Source organism: Homo sapiens, chromosome 3 (genome assembly GCF_000001405.40).
Source record: "Homo sapiens chromosome 3, GRCh38.p14 Primary Assembly".
NCBI lineage: Eukaryota > Metazoa > Chordata > Mammalia > Primates > Hominidae > Homo > Homo sapiens.
In genome coordinates this window covers 59265484-59289640 of record NC_000003.12, presented here as the reverse complement: position 1 = coordinate 59289640, position 24157 = coordinate 59265484, and the positions used below count along the sequence as shown (strand labels likewise).

Below are 24157 nucleotides of genomic sequence, written 5' to 3'. Positions count from 1 at the left end.
TAAAAGAGCTAAGGCATAAAATGATACTCATTATTTAAAATAAACTAACACTTTAATATATCAATTGTGCTTTCTTAGAATTGTCACCCAATTTATTTGAGTAGCTAATTAGCAGAAGGTAAGGACCATCTGGGATGTGGAAAGATGGTAAATCAAATTCAGTCTTTTAGAATATATGATAATATATAACTCTACTGACCTTATGGGGGAGGTATGGAAATATATTAGACATAATACATTTTATCTAAACTCACTTAGCACTAACATTCATCATATATTATAATATTAAACTACATATCCCATCTAACCTCCAAGCAAATTGAGAAATCTCATGGGATTCCACAGTCCTTGACTCCAAGGAGAAATCAAAGCTCCCAGTGGAGGTATAACCATGAAATATGTGCCCGTGTGTGCATTATTATTATTGATGTAATTGCTTCAAGTGATGCACTCACTCTAGGTAAAGAAAATCTATAGGGAAGTTCCGATTTATCTCATCACTGCAAGGTGTCCTCCATACTTGAGTAGAGTGAAATATTTATCCGTTTGTTAAAAGGGAAGTGCTAATTGGCCAATCTGGTTAAACTCCCTGGAGGGAAAACTGGATGAATGGAAAGTTATTAGGAGGTGTAAACAGATCAGAAAAGGGAAAGCAAACCATAAATCAAAACCCAAATAATTGTTACAGAGAAAATAATTCACAGGGCAGAAAATGGCATAAACTGTATACATGTATGCTAACACTGACAGTGATGAGGATGTTGGGAAAAACCTCTACTCCCTGACTGGCCAAAAATTTGATTGCAAAGAGGCTCAATAATTGTGCATAGGGCTGTGGAGTGGAGCTGCATTAGGCCCTAGGCCCTATTCCCTAGGTCTTGACTCCTTCATTCAACCAACCAGAACTGTTTGAGTTTGTACTGCTGGACCAGGCAGGGTGGAGATGAGAAAATGAAGCAGAGATAAATCCTATCATCAAGAGGTCTGAGCAGAAAATTTAACAGGAGTAAAAGGACCAGTGGTTTTCAAACTTGTAACAAAAGTAATCTCATATAGAACCTCACCAAGTAAAACAGACAAAAATGCAGCTTTTCCAGTTGAAGTCAAGGTCAAAGTCCTGGGTTCCAGCTAATTTAGCATCTCAAGCCCCAGAACTTTCGGGCCCTGAATTACACCCAGGGACCCCTTGGGCTCTACATAGCATCATTTGAAAACAGTCATTCTGACACAACCAATCAATGTAGAAAATGACATGTTTCATACAGGAGCAAAGAAGGTTGTATGAGAAGATAGAGAAAGTTGAGTTTCATTTTATTTAATTTTAATTAAATAAACAAAAATCTCTTTTTTTGGTGATTTTACAATTACTAGGATAGGGGTCTACTTTAGATAGGGAGCTCAGGAAAGGAATCTTTAGGTCGTATATTTGCTTTCAGACTCTAAATTCCAAAAGATGAGAGGAAGAACATTCCAACCACAGCTGGCAGCACATTCAAAAAGCTCTGCAATGACAAGTTTGATGGGGTTGTGGGAAACAAGAGGAGAAATGGTAGGAGATGGGCTCTGACTGGTGAGCAGCAGCCATGAAGGGAGTTTGGATTCTAGTCTAGATGCAGCAGGAAACCGCTGCAAGATTTTTAAGCACTAGAGTCTCAAGGTATGATTTATATTTCCAAAAGGTTGCTTTGGCTGTAATGTGGAGAATAGATTATAAGGGTCATGAGTAAAAGCAAAGGCTGCTGTAGTTGCACAGTCAGAGGCTATCAGATTTGAATGTATGAATGGAGACCAGCAGACAGATTCATGAAGTATTTTGGAGACAGAGCTGACAGACTTCTGGATTGGAAAGGAGGGTAGGGAGGACAATGGGGTAGAAAGTGGAATTAAGGATGACATCTAGTTACTGACTTGAACAATGAATGGGTGGATAGGTTACCCTTTGTTGAGGGGAGAAAGGCTAGAAGAGGAGCAGGGTTGGGGCATGGGAAGGAGAAAGAATGAAGAGTTTGAGAGAAAAGAAAGGTTCCTAGGTTTGGCTTGAACAAATAGCCCATTACCTCATTGACTCTTTAGAGCAACCCTAAAAAGTGATTCCCATTTTTCACCTGAGGAGATTGAATTTCAAGCAAGTTACATAACTAATGTGTCCAAGGACACTCAGCAAGGAAGTGCCAGGGCTTGGATTTGAGCCAAGGTGTCTGACTCTAGAGTTGACATGTGTAATTTCTACATACTACCTCCCACTACAGAAAGAGGTGGAGTTATACAGAGGTTTCATCTCAATGAGCTTATCTTTCCATACTGATAAAATTAGGCAAATCATCCTCACTGCATAGGAGTTGTGAAATTCACAGTGATAAATGTGGAAGTTCTCCCTGCACTGTACAGTTGTTTATAAGAATGAAAAATATATTTTCAGCCATTGAATCCTGGCATATATTCTTGATTCTGTGAACTCTGACTATTCTGGTTTTGACTATGGCCACATCCTAGCCTGGTAGATTTCTGCTGCCTTATTCAGTTTCCAGTCACAGGGCTTTCCAGATCCCACTCCTGGGGGCTCTAAAGGGGTCTGAGAGACTCTAGTCTGAGTCTGGGGCAGTGCCTTACTCTTAAGTATTTCTGGAGAACTTTGGAATCCCCCTGCTTCCAGGCTGCCATTTGTGATTTACCTTCACAACATAATATGTCGTGCTGAGCCTGGGGTTGACATTTCAACACACACAGGGATGCTGTCATGTCCACAGTGGTAATGACTCATGTCCTCTGTGGGAAGCTTTCTCATGACACTTTACAAACCGTAGGAGCCACTCTTAGCCTGTAGCTGAGACAGTCCTTGACAACTGCCAAGCCACTGTCTCCTTGAGCTAGGAAGTGAGGAGAAGGGAAAGGGAGAAAGAAAGAGGTGACCATCTGGCAAATCCTACTGGGTCCTGGGCCCCAATGGCAGGGACTGTTACTCAGATTGTCTCTTTTAACCCTTATAACAATCTTGGGAGACAACAATTAGTATTCTCATTTACAAAATCAAGAACCTGGAGCTCAGAGTTCATTTAGCTTGCCAAAATCCACAAGCTAGTTTAGAGGGAGAGTCAAAGCTCTGAACTACATAGACCTGACTCTAAAATACAATGGTTTGATTCCACTAGGCCATAGTGCCAAAGCATAGAATCAAGAGAGAGGGGAGGCAGAAAAGAGGACAAAAGGGTCTTCTTAGAGTGTGCTCTCAGAATCCTATCAAAAACATGAAGTCATGAGTCCACAGTGACTGAAAACTCATTTGATTTTCAGCTCAGGCATGTCAGAAAAAAAATCTAGTTTCAGTTATTGTTATACATATAGAATGTAGGCTATCAAACTATAATGAAAACCATCAGCCATATTTAACCAGCCAGATTTTTATTTCCCAAGGCCACGATAAGGAAGATGACTGAAATTTAGTTTGCATAACTATAAAGAAACTATGTTAGCAAAAGGACAAGGAGGGCAGCTTATTCCATTGCTAAGAGAATCAATTCTTCTACCCAAATGAGAATGCCAGGTGAGAAATGGGGATTTACATGGCTACCTTTCACCAGAATGATTTGATTTATGTAAGTAAATTCTATACTTTGCCGGCTCCTAAATCCAGAGTGGTGCAGTTAAGCTGATGCATATCAGAGCCGACTCCCTTTCTCATTTCAAGTTGATAATTTAAATGCTTACTAAAGTTTCTATGTTAACTTTCAGGGTTTTAAAAATGAAGCAAGTTTCTGTTCTCCACCAGACTCAGGAGCAATGGGAATTAATATAATATTGTCTTTAATGAAACGTAGTGGGCATGTGTGATTCATGTTTGTTCTCAATTCTTTCGTTCTCTTTAAAACATCATAAAATGAAAAATACAACAGCTGTTTCATATTAAAGAGAAATGCAAATGTGCACTAATGCAGCTCAAGAAATATTTTATGTGTTCAGAGAATTTATTATTTATATAAATGGAATCAATCTACATTTTCCCCATTCAATAAAATGGCATTTATTTCAATGGCTTAGCCAGTTATTTAAACCAAAGCACAAAATAGGGATGGTGTAGAATTTAAGTAAAGGGTGCATTTCTTTTTCCTAAAAGTACAGAATAAAGAAGAAAAGAATTCAGATGCTTTTTGCTCACCAAAGATATAAAAACACCACATTCTGTTTATGCCTAGTTTACTAAACACCACATTCTGTTTATGCCTAGTTTACTAGATTAACAAGTTTCTGTTGCATGGGAAATAATCTCATCAGAAGAGTCAATTGTTTAGGCTGAGCTTTGTCGGGGGGGTGAACAGTGTTCAAACCCAGGTACTTCTTGTGCTGGTAAATTGTGTTTGGAAAAGGCCTCCTGGTGAGCAGTAATGCTTTCTCATTATTACACTCCTTCTATTATCTACTTTGGATGCAGATATAAATTATTTAAAACAGGAGAGGTTTCCCTTGCTAATTAAAGGCAGGCTGCCTAACCAGCTCCCATCAATGCCGAGGGCTTCATTCCATGCACAATCCTTCAACCAGTATAACAGCCCACTCCCATGGTTTTCTAAGTAATTTTAATCAGTCATGTGTGTACCATGGAAACCCAACAGCTGTGCTCTTGGATGACCTTATTATCATTAGCAGCAAATTAGTTGTTGAGTGGGGAATTTTTCATCAGGAAAGACTACATGATTTCATAAACTTGGGAATGGCCAGGTTCTATTTATTTTTTCTAACTGTAATTTACAACGTAGGAAATGAGCACATTTAGAGTGAAATTCACACTTTAATGAAGAGGGATATATCTGAAGTTTCTTTCTAACACATTTTCTACATTCCTTTATTCTATTCTAGGGAATAAGAGAATTGCTATCATTTAGAAATTTTCCCAGTGAATGAACAAGAGGAGTTTTTTAAGTGTCGTTTGCTTTTGGCTTTGGAAGCAACAAAAGTTGCCTCCTGGTGGTCAGGAGATCAACAATTCTCTGGGATATTGGGAAAATCATTTAAATAATTGCCCCGAAAAGGAGCTCTATAGGTCCCCATGATGAAAGAAGCACATTTTGGTATTAAGATTACCCCAGAAAGAGTCACAAAACCTGCTGAAGACATGATCACTCACTAGATCATGTTTCAAACAGGTCAGTGGACATTAATTTTACAGCCCTGGTTGTACAGCCCAAACAGCACTTTTCTATCAGGCATCCCAACACTCCATATATTAGAACAGAGCTGTCATTGTTTTCACCTCTCAGACTTTTAAATTTTCCTGTATTGCCTTTAATTTCATATTTAAGCAAGCTCTTATGCTTCAAAAAATACTCCTAATGGAAGATTTCACTGCTATTTCTTCTGTAAGAGTAGCTTCTCTAGAGGAGGGAGCAGTTTTGTCATAATTAGCCCCTCAACAATCCGATAATTACCAAAAGCTCATTCTCCTGGCTGTTAGCCTCCATGTGCTATGTAGATCAATTTCTTTGTAATTGCACAGCAGTGTTGCCAAATAAGACAACAACCCCGTAAATATTAAAGACGACCTGTGGGTGTGCAGTTAAGGGTAGAGTGAGTGGTATAGACTGCACAACTGCCTTCCCTTTCTTTCCTGAACCCTCAAGGTGATGTCCATATTGTTACACCAGCCTCAGTTCTCTGTGAGCAAAATGGTGCAGGATGTAAAACAAGACTTCGGCCTTCTCCTGCATTCTCTGTAGCCTCTCTCTATTCATCTCTCATCTCATCCCAACACTACTGCCCTCAAAAGGAACCAGAGGCAAGCTGGAGAGTGCTAAGGTAAGCCCCTTGAGGGGAGGGGAGTAGACACTGTGGTGCTCTGTCATGGGCTGCTCTCCAGGACCAACACACTCATCCTCATCTGTTGGGAATGTCAGCTAGTGAAGGCTCCCCACAGCCTCCACCCCTGGATATTCCTTGCCCAAGTTTGCACCCACTCCCAGGGAGCAGCCCACAGTTAATGACTGGCTAATGCCGAGATACAAAGGTCTGACTCCTTAGCCTCATTTGGAACAACTCTAAAGGGCCATCCCAACTCCAGGGCCCCCATAGGGTTGGCTGACGCCACAGGTGCAATCTCCCTGCACATCAGCTTCTCCCTCTGCTCAGTGTTGCCTTTCTCACCTCCAAGAGTGCTCCCCAATAAACCTTCAGCGCCAAACTTCTCATCTTTAATTGTGTTTCCAGGAAACCCAATGGAAGGCAGAGGGTTACCCCCAGTAGTCTTAGACTGCTGTGTCATAAGGAGAGGCAGCAGAACCATTCCCTAAAGAGGTAAGACTCACAACCAGGAATACAAAGTGGTTAGATCCAAAACGTGAGCTAGGAACTAAATTCAATAATCCAAAATAAAATGAAATGAGGTTCAAGACAAGCAGAATCAAGTGCTTTAGGACTATTTGCAAAAACAGAGAGTACACAGGTTTTTACATCTGAATCTATCATACCTCCTTAAATGAGCTGGTCCCTTATGGCATCTTCTGGTTGCTCAGAACGCTCACTAAAGTGTACTTTAATCGACCTTCACTCTGAGGCTCCAATAGTCCAGGCACACTGAACATAACCGTTTCCACTGTCCACACCATAACACGGGATCGTGCAAACATGGCCCACCCTCCACCCCCTCCAGAGTTTCATTTGGAATTCCAAGGCTGAGTAGCCCATTCTGTCCTATATGTCTTCATCCCAACTCTCTGCCTCTCCTCACTGTCTTCCATAGTCCAGGCTATGGGTCAACCCCTCTAGACATCTGTCAAAATTCTCTGAGCACTTTGGAAGCTCAGTCTATTGCCAAGAAATTACCTTAGATTCTCAATGTTGCTTATTCTGCATACAGATGCAGGGGGAAGAGGACCTAACACATTTGCTTTAAATGAGGACATGTTTTTCTCTCAGGCATTTGTTTTTTCTGCTTCTCAGCAGGAAGGAGATCCAATATTCTCCTGCCACCTTCCCAGGCCACAAACAATGCTTATATCTCCTCTGAGTTATGATGGTGAATATTGACTGGGCACTTGCTATGGACTAGGCACTATTCTGAGTGCTTTACATGCTTTATCTCAGTGATCTTTATAACAACCTTGTGACACAGTTAATATGACCCCTGTTCTACTGATGAGGAAACAGGGGTACAGAGGGGTGACCTACCTTCTCCCACAATCAGAAAGTTGGTGGAGCCAGGTTTTGAACTCAGCCAGTGACCCCAGCCAATAAGCTCTTTTGTCTTGCCCCACACCTAGCATCCACTGACATCCATTTTGCCCTCCATATGTTGAGGGTTTCCTCTCCACTCTGGATGCTGCCAGTACCCAGTAATGACATCCGCAGTAATGTAATATCAACATCCCAGGGATGACCCCACCAAAGCCCTCGCTTTCCAGTTCCTCTGGAACTGTTTCAATGGTATACACCCTAGGCCTTCAGTAATTGACTCCCAGGGTCATACGCTTCTCAAATACTCAGCTCTGAAAGGTCCCTCTGACCACCTGCTCTCCTCCACTTGTCTTGCCTCCTCATTCCTTCCAAACTGCTCTTTGGCCCCACTTCCTCCTCTGTGGGTATGGCCTACCCTCTCTCTGCCTTTCAATTTCCTCCCTTCCCTGACCAGCCTGTGTTCCTATCTCCCCTTCAATCCCTCTTTCATCGGCACCTGAAAGTCCCTCACTTTCCTCTCATTGCACACATTATGCTAATCCCCTGTCTTGCACTTTTCTGTCTTTTTTTTTTCAGTGACTCCCATTCCCTGAGTAAAGGGAAAAATCCAAGTTCCTAAGCAAGACCTTGAAGCTACTGCATGGTCTTCCTCAACCTGCTCACATCCCACCACCGCTGTCCCCCACGACTTGGTATTCTGGCCACAGTGAGCACCAGTCTCAAACGTGCCATGCCTCTCCATATCTTCTTGTCAGAAATTGTCTTCCCTTCTGCCCCTCTGGAAAGAAGCAACAGAGCCTGGTGACTTCTTGGACAGAGGAATGGGGGAGAAGAAGGAGGAAGGGAGGGATGAGAGTAGTGGATGAAATAGAAGATGACTTAGAGATGTTTACTCTGAGCACCTGCAAAGAGGAGAGTGCCGTTATACTGCAGGGACTCCTTCAAGGAGGAAAAGCAGGCAAGATACAGAGTCAAACTGGGCCTTCTCCGACCAGAGGTGTAGATGAAACACCCATGTAAGAGCATCATAAAAACAATCATAATCACAGTTCAACATTGATGCCCCCAAACAATTATGCACATTTTACTCTGATTATGTGCCAATAATTAGCCATGACATATAGTTTATATGGATTACAAAAGCAAATCGGCCAGGCGTGGTGGCTCATGCCTGTAATCCCAACACTTTGGGAGGCCAAGGTGGGCGGATCACTTGAGGTCAGGAGTTCGAGACCAGCCTGGCCAACATGGTGAAACCCCATCTCTACTAAAAATACAAAAATTAGCCAAGCGTGGTGGCACATACCTGTAGTACTGGCTACTCAAAAGACCGAGGTGGGAGAATCACTTGAACCCAGGAGGCAGAGGTTGCAGTGAGCCAAAATTGCACCACTGCACTCCAGCCTGGGCGACAGAGCAAGACTCCATCTCAAAAAAAAAAAAGAAAAAAAAACAGCAAATGAATTTAAGAATATTTTAGAATATAATGACATTCAGATAGGTAATAAAATATGAAGAAATCAATAAAACTTATCTATATAGCTGCAAGCTACTTGGAAATATGATAAATATCCTTGATGAAAATAAATATGTTAGTGGACTAATAAAGCTAGTTATCTCACATTTCACTAATAATTTATGAGATGTACTTCCAAATACTTGTAATATTACCAGGAAATTTATATATAGATTATTATAATGAACTTCGCCATTAGGCCTAATGATGTTATATATTAAAACCAAATTTATCTTAGTCACTAATTTGAGATGCTTCAAAAAGGACATTTATGTATACTGTTTTAATTATCCATTGCCTACCTTTAAAATTACTTCAAAATCTTAGCTTTAGAATTTTATATATTTTGAAATTTTGATTTTCTAGAGAAAACATGGAAGTAAAAACATAAAAGGGTAAGAACCAAGGTCAGCTGACAAGCAGAAACATGCCCTTTATGCCCTAGAAACCAGGGACCACATAGTGTTTACTTATTGAAAGAATTTAAGCTTTATCATATGTCTATTTTTATCACAAAAAATATTTTCCTGCCAGAGGTAAAGTGTTCTTTAAATGCTTTGTGGACTCTCTTATATCAGAAGCTCAGAAAAGAGGTTGCTAGTTGTTCTTGCAGAAACAAGGGCCACTTAACGCCAAAGACTCACATTATGACATTGTAGTTAGTCTAAGTTCAAGGAAACCCACAGAGTAAACATGTTGCTTGTAAAAATCACATATACTGCAAAAGATTCAGGTTTTATTAGGTTAATAACAGCGATGTAGGAAAGTTGCACAATTACATACAAAACCATTGACAAATGAGGATCTGACAAAGCTAGACCTGTTAACAATAAAAAAGAAAACCTATAAGCATGGTAATAGAATAAAAATATCAGAGATGAAAAATATGAATATCAAAAGATCAAGGGAGATCTTTAAGGAAATTGATGAAGTCTGCAAACATTTTTGTGCCGTGAAGTTTAAGGATAAAGTAAAGGCTGTTGCATTATGCTATCATACCATTTCACTACATAAAAATATCAACACTAGATTTAGTCTCAACAAATATCAATTCTCAATAAATATCAATTGTATTATTATTGGTAATATTATCGTTATTCATTAGAGTAATGGGGGGATGAAGTTCATTTTGACTTAGTGGGGAGGAAAACCCTCGAATAAACACTGGAACCTCATTATCCTTCTATCCTCACATCTCCCCTTGGCTGAACCCAACCTAAAGCCATTGATCTACATATAGATCAGCATCTTCAGCCCGGAAGCAAGTAGAGAAGGGAAAAGAGTGGGTCTAGAGTGGCAAACTGAAGATGTCCATCACACACAAACACACACACACACACACATGCACACACACACCACACACAACCTGAGTTCCATGAGGCCAGATCCCCAAATTCTCAAGACACTGACATTTATCTGGATAACAAATGTTTTTGGAGGGCTTTCTAGACATCAGGTATAGTTCCAGGTGCTGGAGACACTGTGGCGAACAAAGTTGACAGACTCACTTCTATGGCTATATTATGATTTCTATCAGTCTCTACCTCCATAAAAAAAAATTTAAATATTATTTTATGGCCAGGCGTGGTAGCTCATGCCTGTAATCCCAGTACTTTCGGAGGCCGAGGCGGGTGGATCACAAGGTCAAGAGATGGAAACCATCCTGGCCAACATGGGGAAACCCTGTCTCTACTGAAAATACAAAAATTAGCTGGGCATGGTGGTGCATGCCTGTAGTCCCAGCTACTCAGGAGGCTGAGGCAGGAGAATCGCTTGAACCTGGGAGGTGGAGGTTGCAGTGAGCCGAGATCATGCCACTGCATTCCAGCCTGGGCAACAGAATGAGACTCCATCTCAAAAAAAAAAAAAAACAAAAAAAATTATTTTATGACCACATATGAAGACAAATTTACTCCAGGCTGAATTCATTATTCTGTATTTGTGATTCTTATATTTATTTTTTCTTCTAATTTTTAAGTAAATGAAAATTAAAACATTTTTGTGGACCCCAGAAAGTATCATGGATTCTAGGCACTGTGCCTACTGTGCCTAATGAATAAATTGGTCCACCCCAGCCCCTGCTATTACAGAACTGATGTTCCAGTCGGGGAGACAACAAAAAACAAGTAATAATTAAATCATGGCAAAAATATTAGAGAAGTGCAACGAGGGCCATTGAATAGGACATCTTAGAAGGTGACCAGTGGAGAGGGGCTGGACAGACACAATGTCCACAGCAGGCTACCTGAGGGGGTCACACTGCAGATAAGAACCTTGATGACTAGAGGACTCCATCTTCTGAAAATCTAGAGGCGTCACAGAAGGAACAGCTGGCGTAAAGGCCCTCAGACAAGAAAGAGTGTGGTGTGTCCGAGAAAAGCGAGAAGGCCAGTGAAGCTGAAGCATAGAAGATGGGAGGAAGGGCAAAATGAAAGAGGTGATCACGCAAAGTCCTGCAGGTAAGAACATGGGTTGTGCTCTATGCTGGGTAGTTACATGGCTTGATTTGGAGACTGGATTACAGGGAGAAACAGGGAGACTGTTGGCTACTGCAGGCTACCCAGGCAAGAGAAGATGCTGCCTAGTACCAGGAGGATAAGAGTGGAGACAAAGAAAGGATCGTGGATGTAAGATATCCTTTTGTGAGTTGACAGGGCTCCTGAAGAACTGGCCAAAGTAAAGAGAGGAATCAAGGATGACTTTGGGGGTTTGGGCTTGAGAACTTTGCGGGAGGTGAGTGGCATTTATTAGTGCAGACTTTCAAAAACAGTGTTTCTCCAGTTGGACTAGTAGCTAATAAAATATGGTCTGATGTACCAGGCTGTGACTCTCACACATCTTGTCAGGAGCATGTTTGTTGTGGGAGCACACCAAATTTGTTATTTCCAGTGTCATGTAAATGACTGCTTTGGCCACCATGCTGCTTGCTGCAACTCTGCCAACTGTTTTAGCAACAAAACCTTGACCCTTGCTTCCTCATCTTGCCTTTTAACCAAGTGTGAGTGCTTGGCTAGCCCACACTTGCTTTTTCGACAGAACTGTTCCTTCTAGAAGGACCTAATTGGTTCAAGATTAACTACCCTATCTGGTCTTCAAACAATCTTTTTTCCTGGCACAATGAATCTCCTTTCTGTGCTCCTGATAAGAATTTATTGTTTGGGGCTGGGTGCATTGTTTCGTGCCTGTAATCTCAGAGCTTTGGGAAGCAGAGGCGGGAGGATTACTTGAGGCCCGGAGTTTGAGACCACCCTGGGCAATATAGCAAGACTCTGTCTCTACAAAAAAATAAAAATAAATAAAACATTTTTAGAGAAATAATATTTGGATCTGAATTTATCTTTGTTCCTTGAAGTAAATTTCAAAGCAACTGAATTCTTATAGAACTAGAATACTAACATTCTAAGGAATAATAAACTCAGGTTTTTATTCTTATTCTTCTTGTCTTCTCATTCCGTATACTTTCTCTGAGTAATCTCATTGATTCATTCATTCTACAAATATTTGCTTAGCACTTTTTAGATATAATGACAATGATAATGAAAGCTCACATTCACACAGTGCTTACTATGTGTGTGCCAGGCATTTATTGAATCTTCGAGATGATCCTGTGAGATAGGTACTCCTGTTATCTCCAAGCTAAAGATGAGGAAACAGGAGATTAGGACATATTAAGAAACTCGACCAAGGTCATACAGCTGATGCCTGGTGGAACCAGGATTCAAACCGAATAATGGACCTCCAGTGTCTATGTGTTATAACAACCACCCTCTACTGTCATCTCATTAGCTTTGCTTGTGCATCTAAATTACAGACACAGAGATTCAATTTCTTGCTAGATATCTCTGTTTGGATGGCCCACAGAAACCTAAAACTCAAAGTACTTTAAAATGAGCTCATCCCTGTCTCCACAAGCCCTCTTCTTTCTCGCAAACCTCAGTGAAGTATATTACCATCCATCCAATTACCCAGGCTAGAAACCTTGATGTGATCCCTGACTTTGTCCCAGCAACTTCCATCCTCAGCCACCGTGCAATCATTTAAAATATTGTCTTTTACCTATTTACTATCTTTTGAATTTATTCACTTCCCTATGCCCACTTTTCAAGCTTCATTCCAACTCTCACCCTGTGTTAACTGACTTTACTGCAATAGCCTCCATCTGGTCTCTGCCAATAGTAGGATCTGCACCTGTGCTGAAAAATCCACTATGGCCATGACCAGAAGCAGTAGGAAGAGAGCTATAATTGATTGGTAATGTCTGTCATGGGAACAATTGCTGGCATTGGTACCAGGATGTGCCAGCCTTGCCCTAGCATCTTAACACAATATCTCATACATGGAGGGCACATAATAAATGATGTTAAATGGATTAAAATATTAATATTAATGTCTTTTTATCTCTCTGATCCTAAGCACAATGTTCTGTACTATATATAGTCAACAGTTTTGTGTGGGGCCATTCTTGACAATGATAATGAATAATTTTTACCAACTCAATCAAATTTAAAATTTTTGAAAGCCCATTCTTATTTCTTGCTATGCTCTGTTAATTTATATCAAGTCTCTAAAGTTTCTTCCTCCTCTCTGCTTATCATCATCCCCCACGTCCCCATGCACCACCTTCTGTCTTCTCCAGGTTTTGGGAGCCAGATCACGTGAAATTTTGACAATCTACCCATGGGAAATTCTATATATCTATTTTATTATATGCCCTCAATAATAAAAATGTTCCACTTCTCATGTGAACATACGACATACAGGAAGAACCAGTGATGTGCGGAAATCCCAGTCTCTTAGTCCTTTATAGGTTTAGATATGACTGTTATACTATAGATCTTCACCTTGATTTGGAGACATATGTCTTTCTGGCACCATATCCTATCCACTAAACTCTTGAAATTATGTTCTGACCTTATTATAGGGTTTTCTTCTTCTTTGACTATCAGTCTACTCCCTAAACATGTCAGATATTTCCCATGCATATGATGAATATTTTATATTTGGCTGACTGCTTTATTTTTACCTCTCAGGCAAAGCAAGCTTTTACATGTTAAATTATTTGGTAGATATAAAAAGGATGTTATTTTTATTCCATGTCCTTGTTCTTGATACTCACCATCAACACGCATAGTCACTAATTCTCATTTAATTTATAAAGGTTATAAAGGTTACAATGGTTTGTTGAGCTGCCTCCCAAAAGATTCAAGGTACTTACTAATAGTAAAGCAGAACTGCTGAACCATAGCATCTATTGGTCCATAAAACTAAAGACATTTTAGCATTTGCAGGACTCCAGTCTGCTGCAATTAATTCTGATGAGATATCCACAGTCCAGAGTTATTATCAGCTGGAGAGTGTCAGAAAGCTACTGGCCATTTTGAAGGTGAATCTTTACAAATGCATTTTGTTGTTGCCAAATAATTAGGAGTTAACATTCAAGTTTATATAAGTAATTGCGAATGGATAAAAAAAGTAATTTAGCAATTAGTCCATTTTTTGCCATTCTGAATTTTCTTTTGCAATGGAAACCCAACCTGCCTACATAACTCACACGTGTCAAACAACATAAGTGTTCTGAAGTTATGACTAACTCAGTTGACAGAAAGGGAGCCCTTCAGATATCAGGGAAAAGAGGTGGCATGACCAAAGAATTAAATGCACTGTAGTCCCAGCTACTTGGGAGGCTGAGGCAGGAGAATGGCGTGAACCCGGGAGGTGGAGCTTGCAGTGAGCCGAGATCGCGCCACTGCACTCCAGGCTGGGTGACAGAGCAAGACTCCGTCTCAACAACAACAACAAAAAAATTAAATGCATCCACATCTCTCTCTAGCAGGGACACTTGGATCATCATTAGCATCTGAAATGAGGTGTTGGGTCCTAGATTTCATACAGGGTCTTCTCTCTGAAGTTCCTGGGTGCTGGAGGAGCCCAGAGATACCAGGGAAATAAAGTCCGAGGACCACCTGCTAAAAATCAGACACAAGTTTAGAGTGGGGCCATGCAGTGTCAGACAGGTAAGGGACAAGTTTGGAAGCCGCTGGATGTTGTCAGGCCAGTGGATATGATGATATTTAGGAATTCTCATAACGTTTCATTGGTCAGTTATGAGGTAGGTGGGGGCAGAGTCAGGTACACAGAATTCACAAAATACCATGAGGAAACATGGAACTTACTATATGCAAGGAAGCTTAGTAGTTTAAGTGGAACATATAAAGGTGATTATGATACCATCCTGTCCTGAAGATGCTTCCAGACATAGTCAGGAAGACAGTGGTAAACAGAGCAGCTACAGAAGGGCCGCACAGGCACCAGGAAGCCCTTAGCACAAGGAGGAGCATGGTATCAGAGCCTCACCCTCCCGGATTCTGTTCCATTCAGTTCTGAGTCTGGCAGCAACTCTATGTGACCTCCAGCCAGAAAACAACACAATACCTGAGGCTAATTTCATGAGGTTAAGATTAAATGAAGTGAGGGAAGAGATTTTTTTTAATATTTTTTATATATATAAATACAAATACATAACACATTTATATAATTAATAACTATGATAACATAAACACTAGGGCAGTAGGCAGTGAGTGAGCACTCAATGATAGGTATCTAGAATAGCAGCAGCAGTCACTGTAAAAAGACTGACTTCTGATGAAGCAGAGATATAAACCAAGCACCACTTCAGCATACGAGCAGAAGAAATCTACTTAAACTAGGGTTTGTATCATGATATTTCACAATACCTAGTCTTTCCTGTCTCCATGAATGCCAATTCTATTTGCACAGGCCAAAAGCCTTTGACTCTTCTTTCTCTCACACCACATGCCCTAACTATCCGCAAATCCTGTTGGCTCTATCTTCAAATATTTTTAGAATTCACTCACTGCTCACTCCCTCCCCTACTACCACTTTCTTCAAACACTATCATCTTTGGTCTGGATTCTTCAGTGGCATCTCTGCTTCTGATCTCCCTGCCCTTTTCACCTATAACCTTCCCTCCATGCAGCAGGGACAACTATCCTTTTAAAATGTTGGATCATATCACCCAATCCTGGTCATCCCCTTCCAAAGGTGACCTCGTGTTACTCAGAGAAAAACTCCAGGTCCTTATGATGCTTGCCCGGCCCTCCAGATTTGACCTCTGTCTCTGCCTGTCCTCATGTTCTGCCACCCTGCCCCTTTCTAAGCCTGCTCCTGCCACACAGATCTTGCCGTTCCTCAATGACATCAAGCGTGCTCCTGCCTCGGGCCATTGCCTTTGCTGCTTGTGTTTGTTTGGGCTCTCCAAGAAGCAAATGCTAAGATGGAATTAGATGTGCGTGAAATGTATGGAGGGGAAGTGCAGGTGAACGATAAAAGGGAGGGAGGGGGAGAAGGTAGGAGGAGCCTTTGACAGCAATGCCAACCTGACATCTGTGAGGAAGAGGATATGGAAGACAGATTGTGCAAGAAGGGTTCAGACTGCAGTGCAGTCCTAAGGAAGTTTCCAGAAGGCCAGATGGGTGTCTATCCCTGCCTCACAAGAGTGGCCTGAATTAGGATCTCACTGTGCTCCCACAATGGGTTAGAGTGGCTCAGTGGAAATGTGGCTTCCACATGAATGTGACAGTGGACCCAGAGGGAAGCAGCTAGGATGTGGCCAACAACCAACACCGCTCCTCTCAGCAGAAGATCCATGTCAATCACGCTGTTTCCTCTCACTGGAATGCCTTTTACCTGATGTCAGCGTGGCTAGTCTCCCCCTTCCTTTAGGTCTGTGTTCAAATGTCACCTTGTCAGTGAGATCACTCTGACCACTCAAAGAAAATAGTGTCCTCCACTCTGGCATTCCCTACCCACCTTACCCTGGTTTATTTTTCTTTATAGTATTTTTCTCCATCTAATATATTATACAATAGCTTGTTTGTTATGTCTCCTCCCACTGGAATATAAGCTTCATGAGGGCAGGAATCTGTCTAGTTTGTTAACTGCCTTACTCCCAGTGTTTAGAATAATATGTGGCACATAGCACATACTCAATACATAGGAATTGTGAATAAGTGAACTTTAGAAGACACAGGTTAATTTCATCATTGCACATGCAGTTAACTTCCCTGCTGACTGTGGAACCTGACCTCACCACAAAATCTTAATCTCCCCAAAACAACAAACAAATCTATTAACATGTTTTCCAATTATTCAGGCTTAATACTAAAACATAATGAAATAAACCATGTAGTCAAGCAGAACCCTTTAAAATTCTCCATCCATCCTTATTTACTACATGAAATTTGCAAACTATCTTTAAGGACCTAGGCATCTTTACACAGAATCTTATCTTACTCTTTGCTTGATGTGTTTTAGTGGTTCTCAAGGTGTAGTGTGCGAAAACAATTTTTAGGGTTGTGTATGTAAGCTATGGGTCTTGTACTTATGGGATATACAATTAATTTCTTAAGGTGATTTTGACATTGCTCTCAGTAGAGCAGGTTCCCCAGGAGTGGATACTGACATGAGGATTCATGTGAAAATGATGTATCATAAACTGTTCCCTGGAAAAACTGACTGGGTCACGGGGAAATGTGGCCGAGCAAAAAGATGACATACCAAGCAAGCTCCCATGGAAGGTAACTTTGGCCTAATTCTGCAGGGGAGGTCAAGAAACAGAAGAGGTCACTCCTCAGAGTTGTCCTTGGAGTACTTATATTCTTGATCCATTCAGCCATTGATGAGAGGCTGACACTCAAAGGATGTAAATTCCCAGGTACTTTAACTCTCAGTGCATGCCAGCAAAGTAGGCGGCCCTCCAGCAAGAGATCCTGGTGCTAGCTGTTGGAATTGAAAGTGCAGTGAAAGCCTGAGGGCACGAAAATAGTAAAGGGATTGGAGATAATGTAGTAAAGGGATGAAGGGCATATGGGTGAAGCACTGATAATGCCTGCTGCACCTGCTGACTACATGTATGCCTCAATGGGCACAGTTCCAGAAGGGGAATATATATATATATTTGCAAACTATCTTTAAGGACCTAGGCATCTTTACACAGAATCTTATCTTACTCTTTGCTTGATGTGTTTTAGTGGTTCTCAAAGTGTAGTGTGCAAAAACAATTTTTTAGGGTTGTGTATATAATCTATGGGTCTTGTACTTATGGGATATACAATTAATTTCTTAAGGTGATTTTGACAAAAAAAATTATTTTTGCACACTACACTTTGAGAACCACTAAAACACATCAAGCAAAGAGTAAGATAAGATTCTGTGTAAAGATGCCTAGGTCCTTAAAGATAGTTTGCAAATTTCATGTAGCAAATAAGGATGGATGGAGAATTTTAAAGGGTTCTGCTTGACTACATGGTTTATTTCATTATGTTTTAGTATTAAGCCTGAATAATTGGAAAACATGTTCATAGATTTGTTTGTTATTTTGGGGAGATTAAGTAAGATTTTGTGGTGAGGTCAGGTTCCACAGTCAGCAGGGAAGTTAACTGCAGTTATATATATATGGGGAAAAAAAAAATACACACACACACACACACACACACACACACACACAGCAAAACTAATCAGAATTAAACTTGTAATACATTTTTCAGTTTTCTGATTTCCGTTATTATCCATGAGTGTGTATTTATGTGAGCAGTGGAATCTCTTTAAATCACTTGGTATAGCGATCCAAACATTGTGCTTGGGATCACATCTAATGCCTTTTTGAGTAGGGTTGTGTTACCACACATTTATATGAAGAAACCACACTAATGCGGTATGTATGCTTCCCTTTCCCCACTCAGTTGTTAACATGAAATATTACATCTTCTTATCATAACATGCTAATCTTAAGATCTCAGGTAATTGCTTGAGGCTACTAAACCTGAACAACTGCTCCGCTCTGAGCCAGATGGAAAGGTCAAACATCTTCACTAGTTTGCATCAAATTTTGATCCCATTTTCCGCACTTGGAATTCCATTCACAACTGTTTATGGGAAATGAAAGAATATAGTGATGCTGCACATTGTAGACCATGAAACAAGCATTGCTGCTAGCGGCAGAAGACCAGCATTCAGTAAGCAACCTCAAGCATGATAATTCCCAAAAGCTTCAGTATTTTGGGGGGTTAACAGAACGAACTAGATTCTCTCCAAATTTCTTTTTTGTGATAAAAGTACATTGTTCAATAATTCTGTAAGAAATGCCCCAATTCACTGCTCAATACTTCTGCAGGAGGTTCCCCCACTATAGTATCTATTTGGGGAAGCTTCTGTGGCCTTCTCAAGACCAGTGACAATTTTGCCACTGCCTAAACTGACAGAACATCACAGACAGGTGAAAAATACTAGTTGTTGAGTGCCAGGTGCTGTGTTAAGTATATATAGTAGCTCATTTAATGTTCACAATAACATTATAAGGAGGTATTATTATACACTTTTTATAAACAATGAACCCGGGGCCCAGAGACATGAAATAACTTGCACCGAGTCACATAGCTAGTAAATATGGAGTCAGTATTCAAACCCAGGGAGGTCTGATTCTTTGCACTCTGCTAATGTAATGGGAAGAATTTCTAGAGCAGGAGTCATTTCCAGGAAGCAACACAGAGCCCTGGTCAGGAAATGTTCTTGTCCCCAGAAAAGACAGAATTGATAAACTGTGCCTGGCTGGGTTTCAGAATTGCTGTGGACAACTGATTGCCATGTACTCTTTCCCCTCCTTTGGGATGGCATTGTCTACTGTGGTTGTACAATACCTTTTTTACCACTGAATATTGGATGTGTGGAGATATTATATAAATAGTTTGTTTCTGTAGTTCACAGGTCTTCAGAACAAAAAAAAATTGTATGCAAGGAGCTGTACTCAAAGATTCACATGTGAGGAGACACATCCATACCTGGATCTGATTTTGACAGGGAGAATCTTGACAGCCATCGTTGTAATAAGATGCGATTTGTGAGGGAGATTCCTTACAGAACAGTGAGTGTATTTTCCATGTGGAACATGGGTAAATAACTTGTGGCCAGAGGGCAGACTGTGGTAGATTAAAGATTGCCATAATATTTTTGCTACTACTCTCATTTAGGAATAATGCTCAAGTCCTTGATTTTGAGATGGCTTTAGTGGCTTGCTTGACTAATTAAATCCAACAAATATGACATTATGGGTCTTCCAAGTATAGGTCATAAGAAGCTTTGCAGCTTCCACCTCTTGAAGTATTTGCTCAGGGTAAAGCCAGCCACCAAATATGAAATCTAATTGCTCTGAGACTGCCTTGCTGCTCAAGCTGGACATATGAAAAAACTATGAGGAGAAAAAGAAAGAGATAGGTACCTGGTCAGCCCCAGATCTTCTACCAAGCCCAGCCCAGGCACCAGAAGTGAGGCTGAAGAAGCCATCTTGAACATTCAAGCTCCACCAGACACAAGGTGTAAAAGCAAGGAACTCATCTACAGCCAGAACCAAAGTCCTGGGCACAAGACCCCAGTGGAGCTCTCAGCCATCTCTTGCCATTGAGTATCCCTGCTGAGACCCCAGTGATCAAGGAGCTCTCACTATGTCCAGTCTGAATTCCTGATCCACAAAATCATGGGCATAATAAGATGGTTGTTTTCTGTGACTAAAATTTGGGGTGGTTTGTTAGACAGCAACTGATAGCCGGAACACACTGTTCTAGGGACTCCTAAAGGAAAGTGACTGAGTTGCTCAATCATTTACTAGCTGTTTGCAATGGTCATTTTAATAAAATTAGTAGTATTATATATATGATATATATATCATATATATATCATATATATATTATATATGTAAAGACTGGGTCTCACTCTCTTGCCTAGGCTGGAGTGGAGTGGCATATTATAGCTCACTGCAGCCTTGACCTCCTGGGCTCAAGCAATCCTCTCACATCAGCCTCCTGAGTAGCTGGGACTCTAGGTGCATGCCACCACCTAGCTAATTTTTTAACTTTTCTTAGAGACAAGTTCCCACTATTTTGCCCAAGCTAGTCTCCAACTCATGAGCTCAAGTGATCCTCCTGCCTCAGCCCCCCAGGTGCCAGGATTAGAGGAATGAGCCCCCACACCCAGCCTATTATTAATCTTAACATTAAAGTTATGCATGTTTATTAGAAAATATATAAAATTTTTAAAAAACAAAATTACCTACAATTGCACCACCCAGAAATACATTTACATATTTAAAGTGTCTGTATGCATATAGGCTGATCCTATATATAACCATTATCTATTCATGCATAAAAGCATACCCAAATTAAAGCTTTAAACTGATTTTCTCATTGCTCACAAGTCTGTGGATTAACTGGGTGATTCTGCAAGCAGCTGGTGGGTCAACTGGAGCTAGCAGTCCCAGGCAGTCTCACTCACACGAATGGGCTGTGGGCAGGCTGACTGGTTTGTGGAGCCTAAGCTGGGATGTCTCTGCTCCATGTGGTCCCTCACCCTCAAGGAGGCTAGCCCAGGCCTCTTTACATGGAGGTCTCAGGACAGCAAGAGCATGAGAAGATTAACTGCAAGACCTCCTGAAGCCTAGACTGGGAAATTCCTATGTCACCACTTCTGCCCCACTCTGCTGGTCCGAAAAGCCTCAAGGCCAGTCAGATGCAAGTGAATAGGGAGAATGACTCCAACTCTTGACAGGAAGGGCAGCCAGTTCACATTGCAAAAGTAGATGTATACAGGAATGAAAGGAATCTGTGGCTATATTTTTTTCTTTTTGCAATCTACAACACTGTACTTGAAAAAAAAAATTTTAAAAAAAAGCTTTTAGGCTTGAACAATATAATGAAAACCCTTTGAGTAAGTAAACTCTGCCCATTATCCTGTTAGGAAGACTCTGTACCATGTCTCAGATAGATGAGTTCTTGTCTCAAAATTGGGAACAGAGTCCCTTTTGTCTAAGGAAAAATCTCCTTGAAGCTCCTAGAGCCAATTTTTGAAATGAAGAGAAAAATTAATTTAATTTCCATTTTTCCTGCCCCAAACTGGTGGTTATTTATCTGGCCTGTTGAGTTACTACTGCATCACATAGAGGCATGAGGTCCCCCCACTAGAGTTTCCCCATCCTCTGAACTGGATAACTGAGAGATGTAATGATAGTGACAGGGTCACTGAGCCTAAAGATGACTTTTCTTGCCATATTCTGATTGAGCGTTTATCTCAAAGACTTGTAAATACCTTAAACTGCAGTACAATAGTCACCAAGATTTATTTCTAAGAGAAATGAATACCTCTGTCCTGCTTTGGGCAAAAACATCTCATGAGCTGAGGTTATACACCCTGAATAAATTAAATTCCAGAGATATATAAAGGTTAAATGAAAAATCAAAGTAAGTAGGTGATCCAGGTAAGTGGGCCACTTTGGCAAACGTGTGGGAAGTGAGGGTGAGAGCTGTATCCCTGTCTTCAGCCATAAAGTGGGCGCCTGTTCTCCATGGACAGAGCCATTAATCAAATAGGTTATTTATAGAATATCCTAGAAAAAAAAGCTTCCCTCTGGGTTGCAATTGTCCTCACTTAGGTCAATGATACATGACAGGCTTATCATAAAGTCTCTTAAGGAAAAAATCTACAATGTTCTTTGTTTCTTGAAGCACAGAAACTTCAACCTGGCTAAGGTCTATACTCTATCAAAATTCTTTCAGCAAACTTCTTGATCAAAAGCTTATTTTGACAGTTTGCAGTGTGCCCATTTTAATGTGATGTAGGTAGTCTAATAGCTCTGGTATTAAATGGTAACCAAACCAGGATGGCTATTATCCAAAAAACAAATAAAAAATGTTGGTAAGAATGTGGAGAAAAGGGAATCCTCCAACTCTGCTGGTAAGAATGTAAATTGGTGTAGCCACTAAGGAAAACAGTATGAAGATTCCTCCAAAAACTAAAAGTAGAATTACCATATAACCCTGCACTCTCACTTCTGAAATACATCCAAAGCAACTGAAATCAGTACGTTAAACAGATATCCGCACACCCATGTTCACTGCAGCATTATTAAAGTAGCCAAGACACATAAACAACCTAAATGTCCATTGATGAATGGATACAGAAAATGTGGTATATACATACAATGACTATTATTCAGTTTTTTTAAAAGAAGGATATCCTGCCATTTGTGACAATAGCGGATGAACCTGGAGGACATCATGCTAAGTGAAATAAGCCAGACGCAGAAAGACATATACTGCATGATACCACTCATGCGATGAGTCAGTAATAGTCAAACTCACAGAAACAAAGAGTGGAATGGTGGGTGGTTTCCAGGGGCTGGTAGTGGAGAGCAGGGAATTTGTAGTCAAAGGGCACAGTGTTTCTGTTTTATGAGATGAGTAAGGTCTAGAGGTCTACAGCATAGTGCCTACAGTTAACAATACTCTGTTGTATTCTAAAAATGTTCTAAGAAAGTAAATATTATGTTAGGCATTTTTAACACACACATAAAAATAATAATAATACATAAGGAGCAGCTGGACATGGTGGCTCATGTCTGTATTCCCAGAACTTTGGGAGGCTGAGGTGGGAGGATCACTTGAGCCCAGGAGGTCAAGGCTGCAGTAATCTATGATTGCTCCATTGTACTCCAGCCTGGGTGGCAGAACAAGATCTAAATAAATAAATGAATAAATAAAAATAAATTAATAAGAAGGGTGGAAGGAAGGAAATTCTTGAAGGTGTTAGATACGTTTACGGCATAGATTGTGGTGATAGTTTCACACATGTATACAGTTATCCCTTGGTATCCATAAGAGATTGGTTCCAGGATCTCCCATGGATACCAAAATCCAAGTCCCTCATATAAAATGGCATAGTATTTGTATATAACCAATGCATATCCTCTCATGTACTTTAAATCATCTCTGCATTACTTACAATACCTAATACGCCACAATGCTAGGTAAACGGTGGTCATACTGTATTGTTCAGGAAATACTGAGAAGAAAAAAACTGTACATGTTCAGTACAGATGGCTTTATTTCCCAAAATCTTTTTGATCAGCAGTTGGTTGAATCCTCAGATGTGGAACCCACAGACACAAAGGGCCAACTGCATTTATCTCCAGACTCATTCAGGCTGTATACATTACATGTGTATAGCTTTCTGTATGTCAATCATATCTTTAAAAAGTAGTTTAAATAAAATGACAATCAGAGAGAGGTAGTTGAAAACAGGAATGATAAGCGTGAGCCCTAGCAAGAACTGACTTGGTTTCACATTCTAGCTTCTGGCTTCGTGCCACTGTCTGTGTAGGCTTGAGTGTGTGCTAATTCACCTTTGGTTCTCCATCTGTGACATGGCAATAAGTCGGTTAGATAATTGATTAGATAATGCAAGCAAAGTGCTTAACACAGTGTCTGGCACATGGTGGGCCCTGAATAAATGTAAGCAATGTTTGTTATTAGAAAAGTAAGCACAATTTGGGGCCAAGGACCTCTTTGTCCCAGGGCTGACAGCGAGACCAAGAAGAGCACAGCAATAGACGTTTTCTACACTGAGAAATCCACTATG

At 40.6% G+C, this 24157-nt stretch overlaps 1 long non-coding RNA gene across 2 annotated transcripts in view; it reads right to left on the bottom strand.

Moving 5' to 3' along the window:
• CFAP20DC-DT (CFAP20DC divergent transcript) overlaps positions 1–24157 on the bottom strand; it is a 724471-nt gene that overhangs the window by 521670 nt on the left and 178644 nt on the right. The window contains exon 5 of one of the 2 annotated variants that reach the window (XR_007095934.1): positions 12243–12313. The exons of the other annotated variant lie outside the window; for it this stretch is intronic. This is a non-coding gene — a long non-coding RNA (CFAP20DC divergent transcript). Of the gene's footprint in view, positions 1–12242; positions 12314–24157 lie in introns of those variants that run through there. 2 annotated transcript variants of the gene reach the window in all.